This window comes from Homo sapiens, chromosome 1 (assembly GCF_000001405.40).
Source record: "Homo sapiens chromosome 1, GRCh38.p14 Primary Assembly".
In the NCBI taxonomy this organism is placed as follows: domain Eukaryota; kingdom Metazoa; phylum Chordata; class Mammalia; order Primates; family Hominidae; genus Homo; species Homo sapiens.
In genome coordinates, this window is record NC_000001.11 from 70,250,267 (window position 1) to 70,271,789 (window position 21,523).

General features: G+C 37.1%; 2 protein-coding genes across 40 annotated transcripts in view, besides 1 other annotated feature; one reads left to right on the top strand and one right to left on the bottom strand.

Annotated features, from left to right (window-relative positions):
- SRSF11 (serine and arginine rich splicing factor 11) overlaps window positions 1-2,786 on the top strand; it is a 47,357-nt gene extending 44,571 nt beyond the window's left edge. For 16 of the 31 annotated variants that reach the window (NR_146810.2, XM_047434518.1, XM_047434524.1 and 13 more), the window contains 2 exons: window positions 99-237; window positions 345-2,786. Coding sequence is in view for 30 of the 31 variants with exons in the window: in XM_047434518.1 (XP_047290474.1) it covers window positions 99-237; window positions 345-539 (334 nt within the window). In the remaining variant the exon portion in view is untranslated. Of the gene's footprint in view, window positions 1-98; window positions 238-341 lie in introns of all 31 variants that reach the window. The other 15 variants (XM_047434514.1, XM_047434523.1, XM_047434516.1 and 12 more) reach the window with 1 other exon arrangement.
- Window positions 3,657-3,857: a silencer, noted in NCBI's record as "peak281 fragment used in MPRA reporter construct". NCBI's record gives its function as "represses an SCP1 promoter by STARR-seq MPRAs in K562 erythroleukemia cells {active_cell/tissue: K562}" and the evidence as "EXISTENCE:reporter gene assay evidence [ECO:0000049][PMID:32103011]".
- Window positions 8,733-21,523, bottom strand: part of ANKRD13C (ankyrin repeat domain 13C) — a 95,724-nt gene continuing 82,933 nt past the window's right edge. For 4 of the 9 annotated variants that reach the window (XM_047431282.1, XM_047431278.1, XM_005271235.4 and 1 more), the window contains one exon: window positions 8,733-12,581. In XM_047431282.1, the coding sequence (XP_047287238.1) occupies window positions 12,521-12,581 (61 nt within the window). In that variant the 3' untranslated portion in view covers window positions 8,733-12,520. Of the gene's footprint in view, window positions 12,582-20,589; window positions 20,691-21,523 lie in introns of all 9 variants that reach the window. The other 5 variants (XM_047431276.1, NM_030816.5, XM_047431283.1 and 2 more) reach the window with 2 other exon arrangements.

Genomic DNA, 21,523 nt, shown 5'->3' on the forward strand with positions numbered 1-21,523 from the left:
TTGGATCTTTGCTGTACTACTTATATCCTGTGAAATTGAGTCAGGCTCATCATCTAAACAAGTTAAACCTGTTGCTGTACATTTTACTGTCATTCTAGACATAAAAAGGAGAAGAAGAAAGATAAAGACAAAGAAAGAAGTAGGGATGAAAGAGAACGATCAACAAGCAAGAAGAAGAAGAGTAAAGATAAGGAAAAGGACCGGGAAAGAAAATCAGAGAGTGATAAAGATGTAAAAGTATGTTTACAAATTGATTTATTTTTATATTTGGGGTGATGTTGGTACTTTCAGAAGTTATTTTTCTTTGGAGAAGTTTACTTTTATTATTCTCCTTGGCAAAGCAGGTTACACGGGATTATGATGAAGAGGAACAGGGGTATGACAGTGAGAAAGAGAAAAAAGAAGAGAAGAAACCAATAGAAACAGGTTCCCCTAAAACAAAGGAATGTTCTGTGGAAAAGGGAACTGGTGATTCACTAAGAGAATCCAAAGTGAATGGGGATGATCATCATGAAGAAGACATGGATATGAGTGACTGAATATTGCCTCTGAGGGAGTCCAACTGTATACCTGCATCAGTGTCATTCCTTTGTGTGATTTCTTAATGCTGTATTTGTTCATCTCAAACCTAGATGTATACAGCTCTGAGTTATAAATGGTTATAAAGCTCCTGTTACTCATATTAGTTATTTACATCAAAAAGCTTTTAGAAAATGGTACGAGGTAACCAATTCTTGTCATGGTGAAATCTGATTGAGTAACCAAGCAGTTTTACTATTCTGGTGCTGCTTCATAACAAAAATGAAAAGCTGCATGCATCTACAGCAGGCATGGATTGTTTATGTCGTATGATATCCTTTATTAAGTAAGTTCACTTATAGTATTTCTATAATTTGATTCATTGCCGTAATAGAGCCATGTAGGAAATGCACTGATTGCATGTTATTGTGGCAAGAATATCCTAAATGTCATTAAAATCCTCCAACATGATGGATCTACTTATGGTCTTGTTTGTTGACATGACAAATTAACATTCTTATAGTTACATCTGGAAATGAGCATTTGAAATAGATAATCCTTTAAGCCTTGTGGCAAAATTTTTGTGGCTTTTGTTTAACTTTGAAAGGTTATTATGCACTAACCTTTTTTGGTGGCTAATTAGGGTTTAAATACAGAAACAAGATTTCAAATAAAACTGTCTTTGGCAGTGAGTAAATAGCATATTTTGAAGTAGAGTTGTATACTTTTTCATAAGATGTTTGGGAATTTTTTTCCTGAAGTAATAATTTATTCCACATCTACATCAGTGAAAGCTATCTACCTATCCTGAGTCTATCTTAAAGGAAAAAAAGAAAAAAACCTTATCTCTTGCCCTTATTTTGAATTTTCCACTCTTTCATTAATTTGTTTTAAGCTCCGTGTTGGAAAAAAGGGGTAGTGCATTTTAAATTGACCTTCATACGCTTTTAAAATAAGACAAATCTACTTGATAATGTACCTTTATTTGATCTCAAGTTGTATAAAACCAATAAATTTGTGTTACTGCAGTAGTAATCTTATGCACACGGTGATTTCATGTTATATATGCAAAGTAGGCAACTGTTTTCTTAGTTACAGAAGTTTCAAGCTTCACTTTTGTGCAGTAGAAACAAAAGTAGGCTACAGTCTGTGCCATGTTGATGTACAGTTTCTGAAATTGTTTTACAAGACTTTGATAATAAAACCCTTAAACTTATGTTCATGTTCCTGTAAAACCGTATTTGTATTTATTTACGCTACTGAATGTATGACATTTACCTCATTCATTTTACAAATTCTTTCCCTTTCTGTCCACATATTTCAGTATAGTAAAAAGAGGAAGTCTATCACTGTAGTGATAATTGCCATCAAAATTGTCAAAAATGATTTAATTTCTATCCAAAATAGTCCTTTTCTTAGCTTAGTATCATTTTATTGCTTATTTTTTGTGTGGGAATGGGGTTGGATAAAGCAATGAACTTTAGTATAAACAAATCCCACCTATATCTAGCAAATTTATATTTTCGGTGAAATACAGATATTTGCCTTTCTGGAGTAGTATAGAAGCTGTCAATATGTATCTACTGTACAGTACTAAATAGTATTCATTTATGAAATGAGTAGTGTTTGGGTGGCTGGGGTTAAGGGAAAATGAGACTTGGAATTGTAGCTTTTATCCAAGTTTTGAGTATAAATAGGGTTTTGTTTTGTTTTTTTTAACCTAAAAACTGAAATGCCATATAGAAAAACAGCATTGTTTTTACAGTTTGTAGTAAGTAACTTTTTAAAGATTTTATCAAAAAGAATTGTCTATAGTGAGTAAAAGAAGTTCTAATAATGGTCCTAATCACTGCATTTTTAAAAAACAAAGTTCAACACAAATGACATTTGTTTTAAACTTTAGTAGATAAAAGGTGAACCATGTGACATGGGCATTTTTGTAAGTCAAAAACAAATTTCACATATGGTAAACCTAATATTCACAGTGTGTTCCCTCACTTGTAATCTCTGAATACAAATATACTAGCTTTTCTAAAGGGAATCATTTTTTTAAAAGTAGTGCCACTGACAAGATGCTACAGTGAAGATTATCCATTCTTAGGATATTTATTTTCAGTGAACATTTTCTGCACAAAGGTAGTGTTGCACTGGGACACAAGCCTTTTAACAGATAACCAGTTGAAATCAAACACTGCCTCCACACCGAGTTCTGTTGTGTATTTGATAGTAAATTGATTTAAAAATAAAAGTGGTTTTTGTTAGAAAAATGTTTTGTCCTTATTTATTTGCTTAAATCCTTTAGGAGTGAACGAGAGGTGGTAGCTATACAATGAGCTTTTTTAAATGGAAAGATAAGAGTCCAGTCATGCATTTGGTCTTTATTTCATAGAGCTGGAGATAACTGTGTTCCTTACCTTCAGTTTCCTACGGGTAAAATGGAAGTGATTGCTACCTTGCAAAGTACAGACATACCTCGGAGGTATTGTGGGTTTAGTTCCAGACTACAATAAAGCAGTTCATGAATTTTTTTGGCTTCCCAGTGCATATAAAAGTTGTTGGCTGGGCACTATGGCTCATGCCTGTAATCCCAACACTTTGGGAGGCCAAGGCAGGAGTGCTTGAGCCCAGGACCAGCCTAGGCAACATAGCAAGACACTGTCTACAAAAAAATAAATAGCCAGGTGTGGTGGTGCACACCTGTAGTTCTAGCTACTGTGGAGGTTGAGGCAGGAGGATCACTTTGAACCCAAGGAGTTGGGGCTGCAGTGAACTATGATCATGCCACTGCGCTCCAGGTTGGGTAATAGCAAGACCCCATCTGTATCTGTAAAACAGTAATTTTTAAAATGTAGCCTTTGGTGCCTGGGACATTAAATGATAGCTGCTATTTGATTATGGGGCCCTTAAAAGTTATGTAACTAATAATTTGTGTAGGGGGTAATGTTAAAAGCACAAAATAAATTGCATACCTTTTATTGAAAAGGCTGTGTTGCCCTTAACTGTTTTCATGAAGATGGATCTTAGGTAAGTTTCCTCGTGGCAATTCTATACATGGAAGACAGAAAAATGCAAATAGGCACTTGGGAAAAGGAAGGAGAGGATAAAAATTACTGTTAACCTTGGAGCTACATCTTAAAACTGAGTCAGGTTCTGGAGTGTGCATTATACAGCTTATGTCATGCAGATTACAGTATTAATACATCAAATTTATCTCTAGCAAAATTATCACTCAGTTGGGCACTAGATGAAGGGTTGGATCCATGCATGCTGTTTGTAGATTGATACACATCTTTTCAAATGGAATTGAGATTTCTTTTCCCTCAGTCTGCCTCAAAACCAGCTAATGCATTTCATCCCTGTGCTTCTATTTTTTCTAATCAAGTACATGTGGTTGTGTTTTAATTAAATATGGGTGTAATGGAATTGTTACTCATACTTTTAAAAGCATTCAGAATGTCTATTAAGGTTTTATTAGCAGAAGTAGTAATTGTACCTTTATAAATTTCTCAATGAGACAATTTTTGGAGTGGTAGATATTTTGAATTTCAACCTGTTTTACTCAGTTTTGTTTCTATTCCCATTTTCATTTTATGTCAAAGTATATGTGAAATTTATTTAGACATTCTTAGCAAAATATCTTAGGTGAGTACCATGACAATTCTTTTATCAGTGGTAATATTCTTTAGAATATACTTAAGGTTTATCATAGAAGATGGTTAGCAATCGTGTGTGTGTGTGTGTGTGTGTGTGTGTGTGTGTGTGTGTGTGTGTGACGGAGTTTCGTTCTGTCATGGTCGTCGCCAGGCTGGAGGGCAGTGATGCAATCTTGGCTCACTGAAACCTCCGCCTCCCGGGTTCAAGCAACTCTCCTGCCTCAGCCTCCCGAGTAGCTGGGACTACAGGCATGCACTACCATGCCCAGCTAATTTTTGTAATTTTACGCGAGACGGGGTTTCACCATGTTGACCAGGATGGTCTCTGTCTCCTGACCTCGTGATCCGCCTCCCAAAGTGCTGGGATTACAGGCATGAGCCACCGTGCCCGGCCGATGTTTAGCAGTCTTAAGACAATTTACAGTCTGATATGACTAATATTTCTAGGTGACCAATAAAATGTTCTTACAAAAATAATGGAAGTGACACATTCACATCATTCTCAGATTTCTCAATTTATTAAAGGTTATTTTTGCAATGCACTGTCACTAAAATTAGTACCATGATGTCTTTTTTAAAAAAAAAGCTAGTTAGGGCTGGGTGCGGTGGCTCACGCCTGTAATCCCAGCACTTTGGGAGGCTGAGGTGGGTGGATCCCTTGAGGTAAGGAGTTCGAGATCATCCTGGCCAACATGGTGAAACCATCTCTACTAAAAATACAAAATTAGCCGGGTATGGTGGTGCATACCTGTAATCCCGGCTACTTGGCAGGCTGAGGCAGGAGAATCGCTTGCACTCAGGAGGCGGAAGTTGCAGTGAGCCAAGATCACGCCACCCCACTCCACTGCACTCCAGCCTGGGTGACAGAGCGAGATTCTGTCTCAAAAAATAAATAAAAATAAAAAGCTAGTTTGCCAAAATATGGTTTGCGCATGAGAAATTGAAGGTCTAGGGTCACAAAAAATAGAATGTTCCAAATGATGTTTAATATCATTCACGTTCAGTTATCCCAAAATGTAATTTAAAAAATTACTTTCTAGCAGGGCGCGGTGGCTCACGCCTGTAATCCCAGCACTTTGGGAGGCCGAGGCCGGCAGATCACGAGGTCGGGAGATTGAGACCATCCTGGCTAACACAGTGAAACCCCGTCTCTACTAAAAACACAAAAAAATTAGCCGGGAGTGGTCTCAGGCGCCTGTAGTCCCAGCACTGGGGAGACTGAGGCAGGAGAATGGCATGAACCCAGGAGGCGGAGCTTGCAGTGAGCCAATATCGCGCCACTGCCCTCCAGCCTGGGCGACAGAGCGAAACTCCATCTCAAAAAAGTTATTTTCTGACGGGCATGGTACCTCACACCTGTAATCCCAGCATTTTGGAAGGCCCAGGCAGGCAGATTGCTTGAGCCCAAGAATTCAAGACCAGCCTGGACAACATTGTAAAACCCTGTGTCTTAAAAAAAAAAAAAAATACGAAAATTAGCCAGGCATGGTGGCACGGACTTGTACTCCCAGCTACCTGGGAGGTTGCGGTGGGAGGATTGCTTGAGCCCGGGAAGCGGAGGTTGCAGTGACCCAAGATTGCACCACTGCACTCCAGGCAAAGCGACAGACTGTCTCAAAAAAAAAAAAAAATGGTTGTGCTTTCTGCAAATATACTAAATGTAATTTTGACGTTATGTTAAATGTAAAAACTGCTTTTTTATTCACTAAATTGGCAAAGTTAAAATGTGTTCATTTAGGCCGGGCGCGATGGCTCAGAGGCCTGTAATACCAGCACTTTGGGAGGCCAAGGCAGGCAGATCACGAGGTCAGGAGATCGAGACCATCCTGACTAACACGGTGAAACCCGGTCTCTACTAAAAATACAAAAAATTAGCCGGGCGTGGTGGTGGGCGCCTGTAGTCCCAGCTACTAGAGAGGCTGAGGCAGGAGAATGGCGTGAACCCGGGAGGCGGAGCTTGCAGTGAACCGAGATCGCGCCACTGCACTCCAGCATGGGAGACAGAGCGAGACTCCGTCTCAAAAAAAAAAAAAATTTTGTTCATTTAAATACCAAATTTTGGAAGACAAGCATCAAGTAGATTAAGAACATTTTTATCTTTCCACAAAATTAATATATCAATCAGGATTCAGAGAAGCAGAACCACTAGAAGATATACTTTTTAACAGATATGACATCAACAATGGTGAGACCTAGTTAAGCAGTTTGTAAGGCTTCATCTTTGCATCTGATGCTGGAGGTTGAAGTTCATTTTAGGCAGTTGGAAAGCAAAGGTGAATGATTGAGGGAGGGATGGTGGCACTAGGAATAAGCTGGAACTAGCCACAAGCACAAGCTAGAACCACAAACATGGACTGACACTCTGGTCAGATCTCGCTGCTTCTGACCTTGGTGGCATGGATGTCCTTCCAAAGCCAGGACTCTTTATCATGGAGCAAAATATAGCTGGCCCATGAGTCTGAGAAGCTGAAGGAGGATTTGGGGACAGTGGAACAACTGCAGGCCCAACTGCAGCCTCATCCCAAAGGAGCAGCAGATAAGCCACAATGTGTATGAGCTACAAAATTTGTTTCACTTCAGCCCTCCAAAACTCCTACATTATCCATATTCATTAGTCATGCATTGCATAATGTTGCCTCGTTTTGGTCAACAATCGACTGCATATAGGATCGCAGTCTCAAAAGATTATAAAGGAGCTGAAAAATTCCTATTACCTAGAGACATCGTAGCCATTATAACATCCTAGCCCAGTGCATTATGTGTTTGTGGTGATGCTGGTGTATACAAACATACTCTGCTGTCAGTTGTATAAAAGTATAGTACATACGGCCGGGCGCGGTGGCTCACGCCTGTAGTCCCAGCACTTTGGGAGGCTGAGGCGGGCAGATCACGAGGTCAGGAGACCGAGACCAACCTGGCTAGCACGGTGAAACACCGTCTCTACTAAAAATAGAAAAAATTAGCCCGGCGTGGTGGCGGTGCCTGTAGTCCCAGCTACTCGGGAGGCTGAGGCAGGAGAATGGTGTGAACCCGGGAGGCGGAGCTTGCAGTGAGCCTAGATCGTGCCACTGCACTCCAGCCTGGGCAACAGAGCAAGACTCAGTCTCAAAAAAAAAAAAAAAAAAAAGTATAGTACATACAATTATGTACCATACATAATACTTGGTAATAAATTATTACTGGTTTATGTATTTACTATTTATTGTTGCAGTATGTGTGTTCTTATTAAAAAAAAAGTTACCTGAAAAACAACCCCAGGCAGGTCCTGCAGGAGGCATTCCAGGAGGTATTGTCATCACAGCAGATGACAGCTCCATGCATGTTATTGCCCCTTAAGACCTTCCGGTGGGACAAGATGTGGAGGCGGAAGACAGTGACATTGATGATTCTGACCCTGTGTAAGCCTAGCATAATGTGTGTGTTTTAGTTTTTTTTTTTTTGAAAAAGGTTAAAAAGTAAGGCCAGGCGCGGTGGCTGATGCCTGTAATCTGAGCACTGGGAGTCCGAGGCCAGTGGATCACGAGGTCAAGAGATCGACACCATCCTGGCCAACACAGTGAAACCCCGTCTCTACTAAAAATACAAAAATTAGCTGGGCATGGTGGCATGCGCCTATAGTCGCAGCTACTTGGGAGGCTGAGGCAGGAGAATCACTTGAACACAGGAGGCAGAGGTTGCGGTGAGCCAAGATCGCAGCATTGCACTTCAGCGACAGAGACTCTGTCTCAAAAAACAGACCAAAAAAGGTTAAAAAGTAAAAACAAATTTTATTAAATAGAAAAAAGCTCACAGAATAAGGATATGAAGAAAGAATATTTGTGTATAGCTGTACAATGTGTTTTAAGTGAAGTGTTATTACAAGAGTCAGTTTAAAAATTTAAAGCACTTTGGGAGGCTGAGGCGGGTGGATCACCTGAGGTCAGGAGTTCAAGACCAGCCTGACCAACAAGGTGAAACCCCCCGTCTCTACTAAAAATACAAAAATTAGCCAGGCGTGGTGACAGGTGCCTGTAGTCCCAGCTACTTGGGAGGCTGAGACAGGAGGATTGCTTAAACTCGGGAGGTGGAGGTTGCAGTGACCCAAGATTGCGCCACTGCACTCCAGCCTGGGTGACGGAGAAAGACTCCGTCTCAAAAAATGTATATAAAATAAATACATAAATAAATAAATTTAAAAACTTACAAAGTAAAAAGTTATAGTAAACTAAGGTTAATTTATTATTAAAAGAAATTTAAAAAATATATCTAGCGTAGCTTAACTGTATGTTTATGAAGTCTACAGGAGTGCACGGTAATGTCCTAGGCCTTCACATTCACTCACTACTCTCTCACTGGCTCACCTAGAGCAATTTCCAGTCCTGCAAGTTCCATTTATGCTAAGTGCCCTATACAAGTGTACCATTTTTTATCTTTCTGTATCATTTTCTTACTGTAGTTTTTCTATGTCTAGATACACAAATATAATGTAAGTACAATTTGTGTAATGCACAAATTGTGTTAAAATTGCCCACAGTACTCAGTACAATAATACGCTGAACAGTAATATGCTGAACCAGCTTGTGGTCTCGGAGCAATAGGCTTTATTGTATAGTCTAGGTGAGTGGTATGCTATACCACCTAGGTTTGTGTAAGTACACCCAATATGGTTCTCACAATGACAAAATCACCTGATGCATTCCACAGAACATGTACCCATCATTAAGTGACACACAACTGTATTTAGAACATCCCAATTACTGTCATCCTTCTTTAGTCATCAAGAACTCTATGTATGGGAGGTACAGGTAAATAAGTGGTGGGTTTTATCTTTTTGGTTTTATGTTAGACAATATTTCTACTCTAATTAAAGTCATTTTCACCGCAAAACATGATGAAAACCAAGAATGATTAACAAGCACCTTTCTTAGAAGTTCTTAAGATTTTGCTTCAATATTTTTCAGTGTGTGGAAAAAGCAAAATTGTAATTCTATGTACCATAGGTACCATTATGACTGAAAGTATTACTCTTCTAAAATGAACTGTAACAATTAAAAAGCTCATCACAAGGTAAGCTCACTCTGTAAGGATGGTTTGCATGATGTAAAAAATGTGATTCTTAACATGTTATGAAATTTTTAGGTGGCAACCAGAGTTAGTTACTATTGCCCCAGATTTCTGACATAAAATGCTTTGCAAGAGTAGTTTTGGCTAATTTATAGTATACAAACAATCATGGGCTTTTACCAAGCTTAGTTCTGCTATCTATCTTTACAAGTGACTTAATACCTCCTGTCCATTTCTCTAGTGGGGGCAAGTTTTACACCAGTTGCTTTTCTCTAGCATGTTTGTAAATATGGGTAATATCAATGAGCAGAAGGAAGCACCTTTAATTCAGCAGTTAAACACAGGTTTGGACTGCACAGGTCCACTTACATGCAGATTTTCAACTGAACCCCTAACCTCCATGTTGTTCAAGGGTCAGCTGTACTTATTTACAATATTTACTTCAGTCCTTTCATGGCCTGGAAACAGGATCTTTGTCTTCTGCAGACTTAGGGAAAACTAGGAAGAGGGCTCATTAAATAATCATTATTCATCACCCTCCCCCAGTGTGTGAATAATAAACTGTATGTGAATACTACTATAAAAACCCATTTTTATTAGCATGAGTGGGGCTTAATTCCAGTTCTGAGCAGAAGGAAACAGTTTTTCATCTACTAACATGTATCAGCAGACAGATGTGACAGTTTCCAAACCATCATCTGTACTTCTTATACTCACAAAAATCAGGGCATCTACTTCATACTACCCTTTTATGAAGTTTGGCAATTCTCTGTATGTGAATATCTACAGAGGGCAAATTGTCTCATCAGAGAATTATTTTCTCAAAGATGGAAACCATATCTTCTCTGGATACCATACCAGTGGGCAAGAATATTAACCATTTCTAAATGGCTATTGAAGATGACTATACGATTGTCCCCCTACCAATTTAAACAGTTTCAAAATCACAAATGGAGAAGAACATATAGAATTTTGTGTACCTACATTGCAAAATCTTGATTTTTCATGTGGTATTATGAAAACATATGGTGTTTTGACTTATTCATTTGAAACACTGCATATAGCTTCATTCATTAACTGGATTAAAAGGCACATTTCGAAAAATCTTCATTAAAAGTAATACTGTGAAAAGTTTATTTGCATCGATTAATTCCTTTTTTTCACCATCATAAGAGATATTGACATTTGTTTGCTCTTTGTGATCAGAGAAAAGACATTTTGGAATGGATAATCTGTTTCTACCATTCTTTAAAGAAAAAAGCTTTAAAAACAAAATTCAAGTGCAAAAATTTCCAGTAGTCTTCCTACCTCCAGTGTACCCCAGCAAAATATTCATAGCTGTGCTGTTAGGAAATTAATCAACCATAAGCTTCAATTACCCACTTTTTTTCTTCCCTAAGGTGTCTGTACTTATGAAAACATATATAGCATATTCCTGAAAGTATACCATATTCCTACAAAGTAAGGGAGCCTAGAAGCAACAGTGATCACTGCCTTTCAGTGTCTCCAACCCCATGTAACCACTGATAGGATAATTCAGTCTCTAAGTCATTTGATCTACCCATTTCCTAAATAACAGCGATCAACTTCTATTCAACAAAGCTAGTCTGGGTTTACTAACACGTTCCCCCAAAATTCAATAGGTCCATGTAACGTAGTAATTAGGTCTTTCAATTTTTTACTATGATTATTTTTCTTCATTATAAAATGTATTTAATGTCAACATACGCAATGCATGTATCAGTATGGAAGATGCAGCTTTAAAGATGTTTATTTAAAATTTTTCTTACGGTTTATGCTTTGGATTTTTAAATCATATTTTCAATAAGGGTCTCTAAACTCCTTTCAAATTACCTAAAATCCTGAAAAAAGTTTAAGCTACTGGTCAGTCTAAAAAACTTGACAGATGCATTCTTGAGACATTCATCAGGATACATTTTAAAAACATCAATCTAAGTAAGCTCTTTAATACAACATGATACTTTATAACTGTTATACATTAATCCCCCTAATTTATTTTCATACTTGGACCTTCAAACCACCTTGGAATAAATAAGAAAAATTTTAAGTGCAAAAATGAGTAATACATGATTTTATCACTTTGGAGACAATGAAATCAATATTTTCCTGTGATTTAAAAAAAATAATAGGAGTAATCAATCTTGTGTATACTTCTGGACTTTAACTTGTAACAAATATATTCTGTTAGCATATAAAATGTTTTTATCTTATTTTGAAAGGATTAAATATGTAGGGTTGTCCAAAATATGTGTATTGTTTTTTAAAACTGACACCAATGCATCCATATTCTACTAAAAACAAACAAAATAATCAGACCGATGTGTACTTATTAGGAAGCAAGTTTAAAAATTTGGATTTTTTTTTAAAGTGCTGAGATTTGGAAGAGGAATATCTTTAAACATGCTAACCATTACCTTATGATGACCATAACAAGGACTCAAACTCAAGTTTAGAAAAAAAAAAAATAGAGGTTCTATGAAAGGAAGATTAGTAACAAACATTCAGGTAAAAACAAATAGCACCACAATGAATTGCACTAAGGTGCTAAAGGAGGTACCTTATTCCCTGCAGAGTGAACGCTCCTTCTGAAATGTATTGCAACATATAAATGCAATTGTTTAATGGTTACCATTTGGTTCATTCATCTACAGAAAATTGCATTCCTTCTAGTTCATTATATTGAACAAACATTCAAATTACTGAACTATACATAATGTTACATAGTTTACATTTTATGAAAACAAAGCTCGAAGGAATATTTATAAATGTCACCTTGCATAAAGATGACAAGTTTAAAAGGGCTCCATATCTCTTAAGACATTTAATTTACGTTAATGGTCCAGGAGTGTTTTAGATATAGATATAGATATAGATATATTTATATGCATATATATTTCAACAAGAAGTGTAAAAATTTTTAAAAACAAATCACAGCACTCATAGCTGCTTCACATACGCAGGTCTTAGGGTCATTAATGTGTCAAACTATTACATTTATAATATGTATATTTTTAAAAAGACAAAAAATGGCACATCAGAAAACTCGCTGAAATTCTTATTAGAGGCCCATTTCACTGTATCGTATTACTGATGTGTCGATTCAATGTGTAATTCCCTTTTCTTCACTGAAAGCATTTGTCCCTTCTATTTGGATCCACTTCTAGGGTCTCTGTATTTTCTTTCCTTGGTTAGACGGCATCCTTTTCCACGTCAGTTAAAGATCAGGAAAACGGCTTGGGTCTTCCTTGTAGTCATCAGGTATAGTAAAGATGGAGCCATCAAATTCATCGTATCGAAACTCCTGAAAAGTCACAGTGGCTGTGATTGTGGGAAACACAGGTATATCTACAGAGAGAACATCAATGATAGCATTGTAAAATCAAATGTTAATATTCATAGACTACAAAGTACTATTGGAGATGTCCATACTCCTTAAAATGTAAAAAAAAAAAAAAAAATACTCAAGAACCAGAAGAATTCAAATATATGTAGTACTGAGTGTGTGTTTCAGGGAGAGTTCTGGGTATTGATTAGTGAGGAGAAAAAGACATTCAGGCATCCAGCATTATATTGAAAACTCAAGATCCCATGCCTTCCTAGTCTTAAGAATATAATGCCAGATTCTACCAGTCTTTTTTTCTTTTTCTTGGGGCAGAGGGACAGCTACTTTTGTGCTTTTTGCATTCTGACTTTTTTCTCTTCAGATTATAGTATATTTACTATTCTGACTCTTTGAGCTGATTTATTTTCATTCTTACTAGCCCAAGTAAAATACTCTAATCCTTTTCTGTTTTAAAACATTAAAAACAACCTATCACTTAAATGTGTGGGATAAAAACAGTCTCATCAGAAATGGAAAAATATCATACCACCACAGCCTAATCTTCCAAATGAAATATATTTCTAGCTGAAATTGTTTAAGTAAAATCTAGCAATTAAAATGAGCAAGTTAATGATTACATAAGAATCAGAAAGAGTAAAATAAATAAAATGAACAAATACACATTAAATTAAATGTTTAGTTTTATTCCTCATATGAGTTACTGACATGAGTACAAATCATAAAGCCTGGATTCAGATTCCTATAAATCATTTTACTCATGAGCCTCAGGGATTTCATATGTAAAATAAAGAAACTCTGAAATTCCCTTAAAACTCTGAAATGAGGTTGGGTGTGGTGGCTCACACCTATAATCCCAATATTTTGGGAGGACAAGGCAGGAGGATCACTTGAGCCCAGGAGTTCAAAACCAGCATGGGCAACATAGGGAGACCCTGTCTCTATTTAAAATAATAATAATAAATCATTTTTAAAAAAACTCTGAAATGAGTATATGAAAGCTAATTCAAGTGTCTACCTAGGGTAAGGGCACAGAGTAAATTAAGTCTAACTGATATAAGCTAGTATTTTATTGCAGAAAGTTATGTTCTTATGTAAAAAGGAAAACAAAATACCTTAATTAGATTTAAACACAATAATCAACATAACAATTATAGAGTTTCCAGTTATTTCTGGGGGAAAAAATTATTCCTTTGTACCTACTATATGCAGATGCTATCCTAATCCAGGGGTCTGTACACTAAGTCCTATTGCCAGGCCTATTTTGGTAGGGCCCATAAGCTAAGAAAGTATTTTACATTTTTAAATGTTTAGGGAAAAAAAAGAATAGTATTTCATGAAGTGAAAATTAGGCTGGGCGTGGTGGCTCACGCCTGTAATCCCAGCACTTTGGGAGGCTGAGACAGGTGGATCACTTGAGGTCAGGAGTTTGAGACCAGCCTGGCCAACATGGTGAAACCCCATCTCTAACAAAAATACAAAAATTAGCTGGGTGTGGTGGCGGGTGCCTATAATCCCAGCTACTCAGAAGGCTGAGGCGGGAGAATCGCTTGAACCCAGGAGGCGGAGGTTGCAGTGAGCCAAGATTGCGCCACTACACTAGAGCCTGGGGAACAGAGCAAGACTCTATCTCAAAAAAAAAAAAAAAAAAAAAAAAAAATTACATGAAAGTCAAACTTCAGTGTCTGTAAACAGCTTTTTTGGAACACAACATGCCCACTCATTTACTTACTATCTATGGCTTCTCTCATTCTCCAAAAAGAGTAGTTGTGACAGAAACCATAGAGCCCACAAAGCCTAAGATATTTATTATCTTTCAGACAAAGTTTGCTGACCCCGTTCTAGGTTTTGGATACACATCACTAAATAAGAAACAAAATTCATGCAATTATAGAGATTACACTGGTTGGGAGGGTCAGACAACAAATAAATGATGATGACTATCTAGAAAAAAATAAAGCATGACAGTAGAATAGGGAGTCTCAGTGTTGGGGGTACGAGCTGTTGAATAGGGTGGCCAAAGGAAAACCTCAATGAAGGGACTTTTCAGTAAAGACCTGAGATAAGAACAAACCATGCAGTTGCCTGGAGGACGAAAATTCCAAATAGAAGAACACGAAGTACAAAAGCCCTCAAAGGAAGTATCTGGTTTAATCTCGGAACAGCCAGGAGGCCAATGTGGCTGCAGCCAAATGAATGAGAGGAAGATTAGCAGGCGATGAGGTCAGAGGGGAAATAGGCTGCCAGATCAGGTGGAGTTTAGGCCAAAAAAAAGACCAGCTTTTATTCTGGATCAGGTGGAAAGCCAACGGAAGGGTGTGACCGGGGTAGTACTATAACTGGAGTTTTGGCAGATGTAGTGAGAATATAATACAAGGTGACAAGAGTGAAGAGGGAGATGTGCTCCAGAAGGAGCAGCCAGAGAGGGAGGAAGAAAACCAAGAGAGAGTCTATCAAAGAAGTCAGAGGAAAATGCAATGACTTGTCTCAGTTATTCATTGAGCCAAGGACTTCAAAATAAGAAAAGTCAAATCTTGAAGAGATTAGTATAAAAACAGAAAAGTTTCTACTACATTTAACAATAAGGATCAATAATAAATAAACAGGAAGAGAGAATCTGTAATGAACTAAGGAAGTGAATATGCTTTTTATTTTGAGACAATTACAGATTCACAAGCAATTTTAAGAAATAATACAGGCCAGGCACAGTGGCTGACACCTGTAATCCCAGTACTTTGGGAGGCCAAGGTGGATAAATCACTTGAACTCAGGAGTTTGAGACCAGCCCGGGCAACAAAGTGTTGAGACCCCATCTGTACGACAAATACAAAAATTAACTGGGTGTGGTGGCTCATGTCTGTGGTCCCAGCTACTTGGGAGGCTGAGGTGGAAGGATGGCTTGAGACTGGTAAGCAGAAGTTGCAGTGAGCCGAGATCATGCCACTGCATTCTAGCCTGTGCAACAGTGTCAGACCTTGCCTCAAAAAAAAAAAAAAAAAAAAAAAAAAAGAAAAGAAAAGAAAAGAAGAAGGAAGGAAGGAAGGAATGGAGGGAGGGAAAGAGGACGGAAGGAAAGAGAGAGGGAGGAAGGGAGGGAAGAAGGAAGGAAGGAGGAAGCAAGGGAGATTTCCTGTAGCCTTTATTCAATTTTATCCAACTTTAACATCTTACAAATAATACAACATAAAAATCAGGATATTGACAGTATAGTAAAACATGATGAATATTTCCATAACCACATGTTGTCCTCATGTTGGATCCCACAGTGTTGCCCTTTTATAGCCACAATTGCTTCTCTTATGCCTCACCCCTTCTGTAGTCCCTGGCATCCACTCAACTGTTCACTGCCACAGTTGTTTTCACTTCGAATACTTTATATAAATGGAATCATACAGTATCTAATTTTTGGGATTGGCTTTTTTCTACTCAGTATAATTCTCAAGCAATTCATCCAGGTTGTTTCATGTATTAGCAGTTCAATCTTTTTATTGGTGAATAGTATATCCCACGGTATAGGTGTATCATTGTTCATTTACCTGTTGCAAATTGTAGTTTTTGGCTATTACAAATAAAGCTGATATAAAATAAACATTTGTGTACTTTTTGTGTGTGTGTGAACATACTCTTCATTTGTCTGATCTAAATGCCTAGCAAACTAATACAGCTATTCTAGGTTCTTTGCCTTTCCATCCAAATTTTAAAATAATCTTGCCTATGTCTATAAAAATATCTTGCTGGGAGTTGTCTCTCAGCACTGCTTTAGCTATGTTCCACAAATTTTGATATGTTGCAATTTCATTTTCATTCAGTTCAATTTATTGTTTTATTTCCTTTGAGACTTCCCTTTGACATATAGATTATTTAGAAGAGTGCTCTTTAAGTTTCCAAGTGTTTGGACATTCTCTTGTCTTTTTTCTAATATTAATTCCTAGTTTAATTCCATTGTAATCAGAGAACACACTCGGTATGATTTTCGGTTCTTTTATATATATTCAGGTTTGTTTATAGCCAATATGGTCTACCTTGGTATATGTTCCATGGGCACTTGAAATGTATGTGTATTCTGCTGTTGTTGGGTAGAGTATTCTATAAATGCCAATTAAATCCTTTGGCTTATGATGTTGTTGATCTACATCCTTGCAAATTTTCTGTCTGTTGTTATATCAATTGTTGAGAGAAGGGTGTTGAGTCTCCAGTTATAATTGTGGATCTATTTTTCCTTTCCATTCTTTCAATTTTTGTTTCATCTATCTTGCAACTCTGTTACTTGGTATATATACATTTAGAATGGTCACATCTTCTTCATAGATTGACCCTTTTATCACTAAATAATGTCCCTCTCTGTCTCTAATAATTTTCTTTGCTCTGATATCTGCCTTAATTTTAATATGGCCAATCCTGTTTTCCTTTGATTAGTGTTTGCATGATATATCTTTTTCCACTCTTTCACTTCTAATCGGCCTATATCATTATATTTCAAGTGAGTTTACTGAAAATAGCAGACAATTGGATCATGGTTTTTGTTTTGTTTTGTTTTTTTATTGAAACAATCCTGCTCTGTCACCCAGGCTGGAATGAGTACAGTGGCGCGATCTTGGCTCACTGCAACTTCCGTCAGCCTCCTAAGTTTAAGCAATTCTCCCACCTCAGCCTCCCAAGTAGCTGGGATTACAGGGATGAGCCACTGCACCCAGCCTGGATCATGTTTTTTAATCCACTTTACCAATCACTATCTTTTAATTGGTATATTTAGACCATTTACATTTAATGGTATTATTAATATGTTAGGGCTTAGGTCTGCTATTTTATTTTTTGTTTTCTGTTCATTCTCTCTGTTCTTCATTTCTCTGTTTTCTTTTTCTTGCCATCCTTAGGTTACCTATTTTTTAGAATTTCATTTTAATTTATCTATGGTGTTTTTGAGTTATCTCTTTTTACAGCTTCTATAGTGGCTGCTCTAGGTATACATTATTGTGTGTATGTGTGTGTGTGTCTGTATCACAATTTCCCGGTGTCATAATTTTACCAACTCAAGTGAAGTAAACTTATCTCCCTTCATGTCCCTATACCTTCCCCCATTTAAAATATAATTGTAAATAGAAAGTAAGAATAGAGAGACAAAAGTAGGCTTTCAAATAGCTTGGCTGTGAAAAGCAAAGATTAAAGCAAGTGCTGGTGGAATTACAGGTGCTTTTTTGTTGTTGTTGTTGTTTTTTGTTTGATTTTAAAAGGGGAGAGACCTGAGCAAGCCTAACAACTGAGAGGAAAAATGCAGTACAGACAGGTAGAAGGAAAACGAGAAATATGAAGTCACTCATACAGCTAGCTTCCCCGCCCCCACCTTGAGACAGAGTCTTGCTCTTGTTGCCCAGGCTGGAGTGCAATGGCGTGATCTTGGCTCACTGTAACCTCTGCCTCCTGGGTTCAAGTGATTTTCCTGCCTCAGCCTCCTGAGTAGCTGGGATTACAGGTACCCGCCACCACACCTGGCTAATTTTTAGTAGAGACAGAGTTTCACCAAGTTGGCCAGGCTGGTCTCGAACTCCTGACCTCAAGTGATCCACCTGCCTTGGCCTCCCAAAGTGCTGGGATTACAGGCGTCAGCCACTGTGCCCGGCGATACAGCTAGCTTTTAAAAAGAGCTAGGAGGAGAATAGATCCATAATACAAATGAAGACATTACTCAAGCTAAGAAGAGGGGCGCCACTTCCAGTGAGATAGGAAGATGAAAGAAAAGGTTGGGCTTGGGGCAGAAAAATCTGTATGGGGTGTTGGAAGTAGTGAGGGAGGTCCCATTTCTGATATTCTCTTTTTGTATCAAAGGAAGTAAAAATCATCTGCGCTTAGGTTGTAGGAGAAAGTGGTGGGGGAGGATGAAGATTTGATGATGAAAGAGGGTCAAATTTAGTCTTTGAGCAAAATGAGAGAAGAAGCCAATCAGAGAAAAGACCATTCATAATCAGCACTTAAAGCTCTGGCTGATTCTGAAAACATGTAATTGTGTTAACAATAATTTCCAAAATTTTTTTTTGATTTTTTAGTTTTTTTTTAAAATTATTATTATACTTTAAGTTTTAGGGTACATGTGCACAATGTGCAGGTTAGTTACATATGTATACATGTGCCATGCTGGTGCGCTGCACCCACTAACTCGTCATCTAGCATTAGGTATATCTCCCAATGCTATCCCTCCCCCCTCCCCCCTAATTTCCAAATTTTTATAATTTATCCCAGTTGTGTTTTTTATCCTAAATGTAGAAAAAGAAACGGTGAAAGAGTAAACATACACAGGAGGAAGTTTTACAGGGTTGGTTCAAAAGAAGGACAGAGAAACAAAAGAGAAATAGTTAAACAAATACCCCATAACTTTAAGTATACAAGCAAAATATTATTCCTTGTTAAAAATGTGGTTCTACATCAGAGAAATGCCTGCAAAAAAAGGACTGCAGACTTTTTTCTTCTCATATAATGAAAATATTTCCTTTGCATAAAAATAAATGTATTGTGGGGTTTGATTTGGGTTTGTTTAGAACTTAAAAATAGATGTGAATACAGAGATAGTTTGAAATTCTCAACTGTTTAACTCCTGTTCTCTATTCTGGTTTGTCATGGGTCTCTTAACAGTACCTAGAAGGGAGTCTAAAACTCGAAATATTTCCCTCACCATAGAAAATGGCAGTGGAGTTTTAAACTTCTGCAGAAATGCGAACACAAAGATCCCTTATGGCTATGGCACACAGCTCTGAATTGCATTAGTTTTCTAACCATTTCTGCCTAAGATCTTATCACTGATTTCTCCAAGTAGACACTGGGTTCCTAGTGCTTTTGAATTGCAAAGGGCAACTAGAGTGACATTTTGAAAATCACTTATTTAAAAGTCATTTTTCAAAAAAAAAAAAAAAAGTCATTTTTCATCTAGAAAATGTTTATTTCCAAGTGTGCAAAATTGTGAAGATCAGGTTTAATTTTTAGCAATGAAAACATTTTGGCCTAAGTATTCTGAGATGTGGTTTTAAAAATATTGGATAAAACAAGATACATCTGAAGAATTACAGCACTCATTAAATACTGAGTGGTTGAATTGATGGATAGTGTTAAAGGAGCTCCTGAAGCTTGAATTAATGCTAAATCTAAATCTAAACACCCAAAACACCTTTTAATAGTGTCTTCTTCCTTGGTTTCTGATATGTTAGAAAGAAAACTATATGCAAAAATGAGTGTACTATTTCTAAAGATCATTGCTTAAGATGAAATTAAACATTTAGGGCTGAAAAATAAAACGTATGAGTATTACTTTATCCATCAACAGTAACTGCTTACTCCAGAAACATTCTCACTACACAGAAACTGAAAGCATAGCTGAAAATCTGGGCTAATCTCTAGTCTCCCTATTTCACATGAAAAACATTATTACAATACATCATTAGTTTACCCACACTTTTCTTGTGTGAAATAGATCCCTTACATTTAATTTAAATCAAGTAGAATAAGAATTCTCATCAGGCACTTTAAATATTTGACAAAACATAAATAAATGCATATAATTACTGAAAAACTTTACGAAAATGTAAGCAACTAGGAAATCTATTTTCCTTTAAAACAGCAGCCCCCAACCTTTTTGGCACGAGGGATCTGTTTCGTGAAAGATAATTTTTCCACAGACTGGTGGGGACTGGGGAGGGCTTTGGAATGAAACTGTTCCATCTCAGATCAGGCATTAGATTTCATAAGGAGCGTGCAACCTAGATCCCTCACATGTGAAGTTCACAATAGGGTTCATGTTCCTACAAGAATCTAATGCCACCACTGATCTGACAGGAGGCAGAGCTCAGGCGGCAATGCTCACTAGCCTGCCGCTCAGCTCATCTCCTGCTGTGCACCCCACTCCTAAAAGGTCACGAACCAACAGAGGTGTTGGGGACCCCTGCTTTAAAAGAAATTGCTTATTAAATGTTAATAAACAGCTCCATATTCCTAATGGACACTAAAATTATATCTAATTTTTTCTCTTACCTAATTTTACAGGAAAGCCTGGAGGAAGCTTCATCTGAACAAATTCTCTAAGCTTGTTAAAGTGCTTGAAGGGAGCTACTACTTCTAAAACATTCAATAATCTGAAAAATGGAAGAAGAAAAAAATGTTTTCATTGTTCAAATTGCCTTGTGTCCTTATGCTTTTCAACTACATGCTTCAAACCTGGACAGTAGTATTGACTTCCAGATACTAAGGATGAGTAAATTACAGACTTTATTCCTCCTAACTTTTTACTCTATAATGGTTTACAACTTTTGATTGTGCAGCCATAATTTTCACAATTGTTTGATTTTAGGTCCATATTTAGATGGACTCAAAGCTAGTAACTAGATTCACTGTTTGGGTGGCTGATTTCCACTGTCAATTTATTGTGTGTGTAAAAGGCTCTTATGTGCTTAATATTCCTTGATTTCCTGCATATTTGATAAATGATTGCTTCTTATCTTTAAAGGGAAACTTGACTCACATAAAATTTCAGGTTATACTGTCTTTCCTTCTGAACTACAATTTCATAATATCTCTTAGCATTCTATATCATATTAGTCATTATGCTATAATTTCTTTCATCTTTTGGTTGGATGGATTTCTTTTTTAAGTAGTAGCATTTTTCTTTGAAAAAAGTCCTACGACTGCTACGTTTCTTGAATTCTTTTGTGCTTGAGAATATCTTCAGTTGCCTCCATACATAAATTAAAGTTAGAAATACTGACAGATCACACTTTTGTTACTTCAGATAAGTAAAGACATATGAAAAAATGGAAGGCCAGGCTGATTTTATCCCTTTTCTGCCCGGATGCCTTTGGATTTATCAACAACTGAAGCCCAATAGTTTGATCAGGATAATTTTTGTTACTAATCATTCTGTACCAATTTTTCGTGGAACCTAATGTCATCCTATAGATTTAGTTCTTCA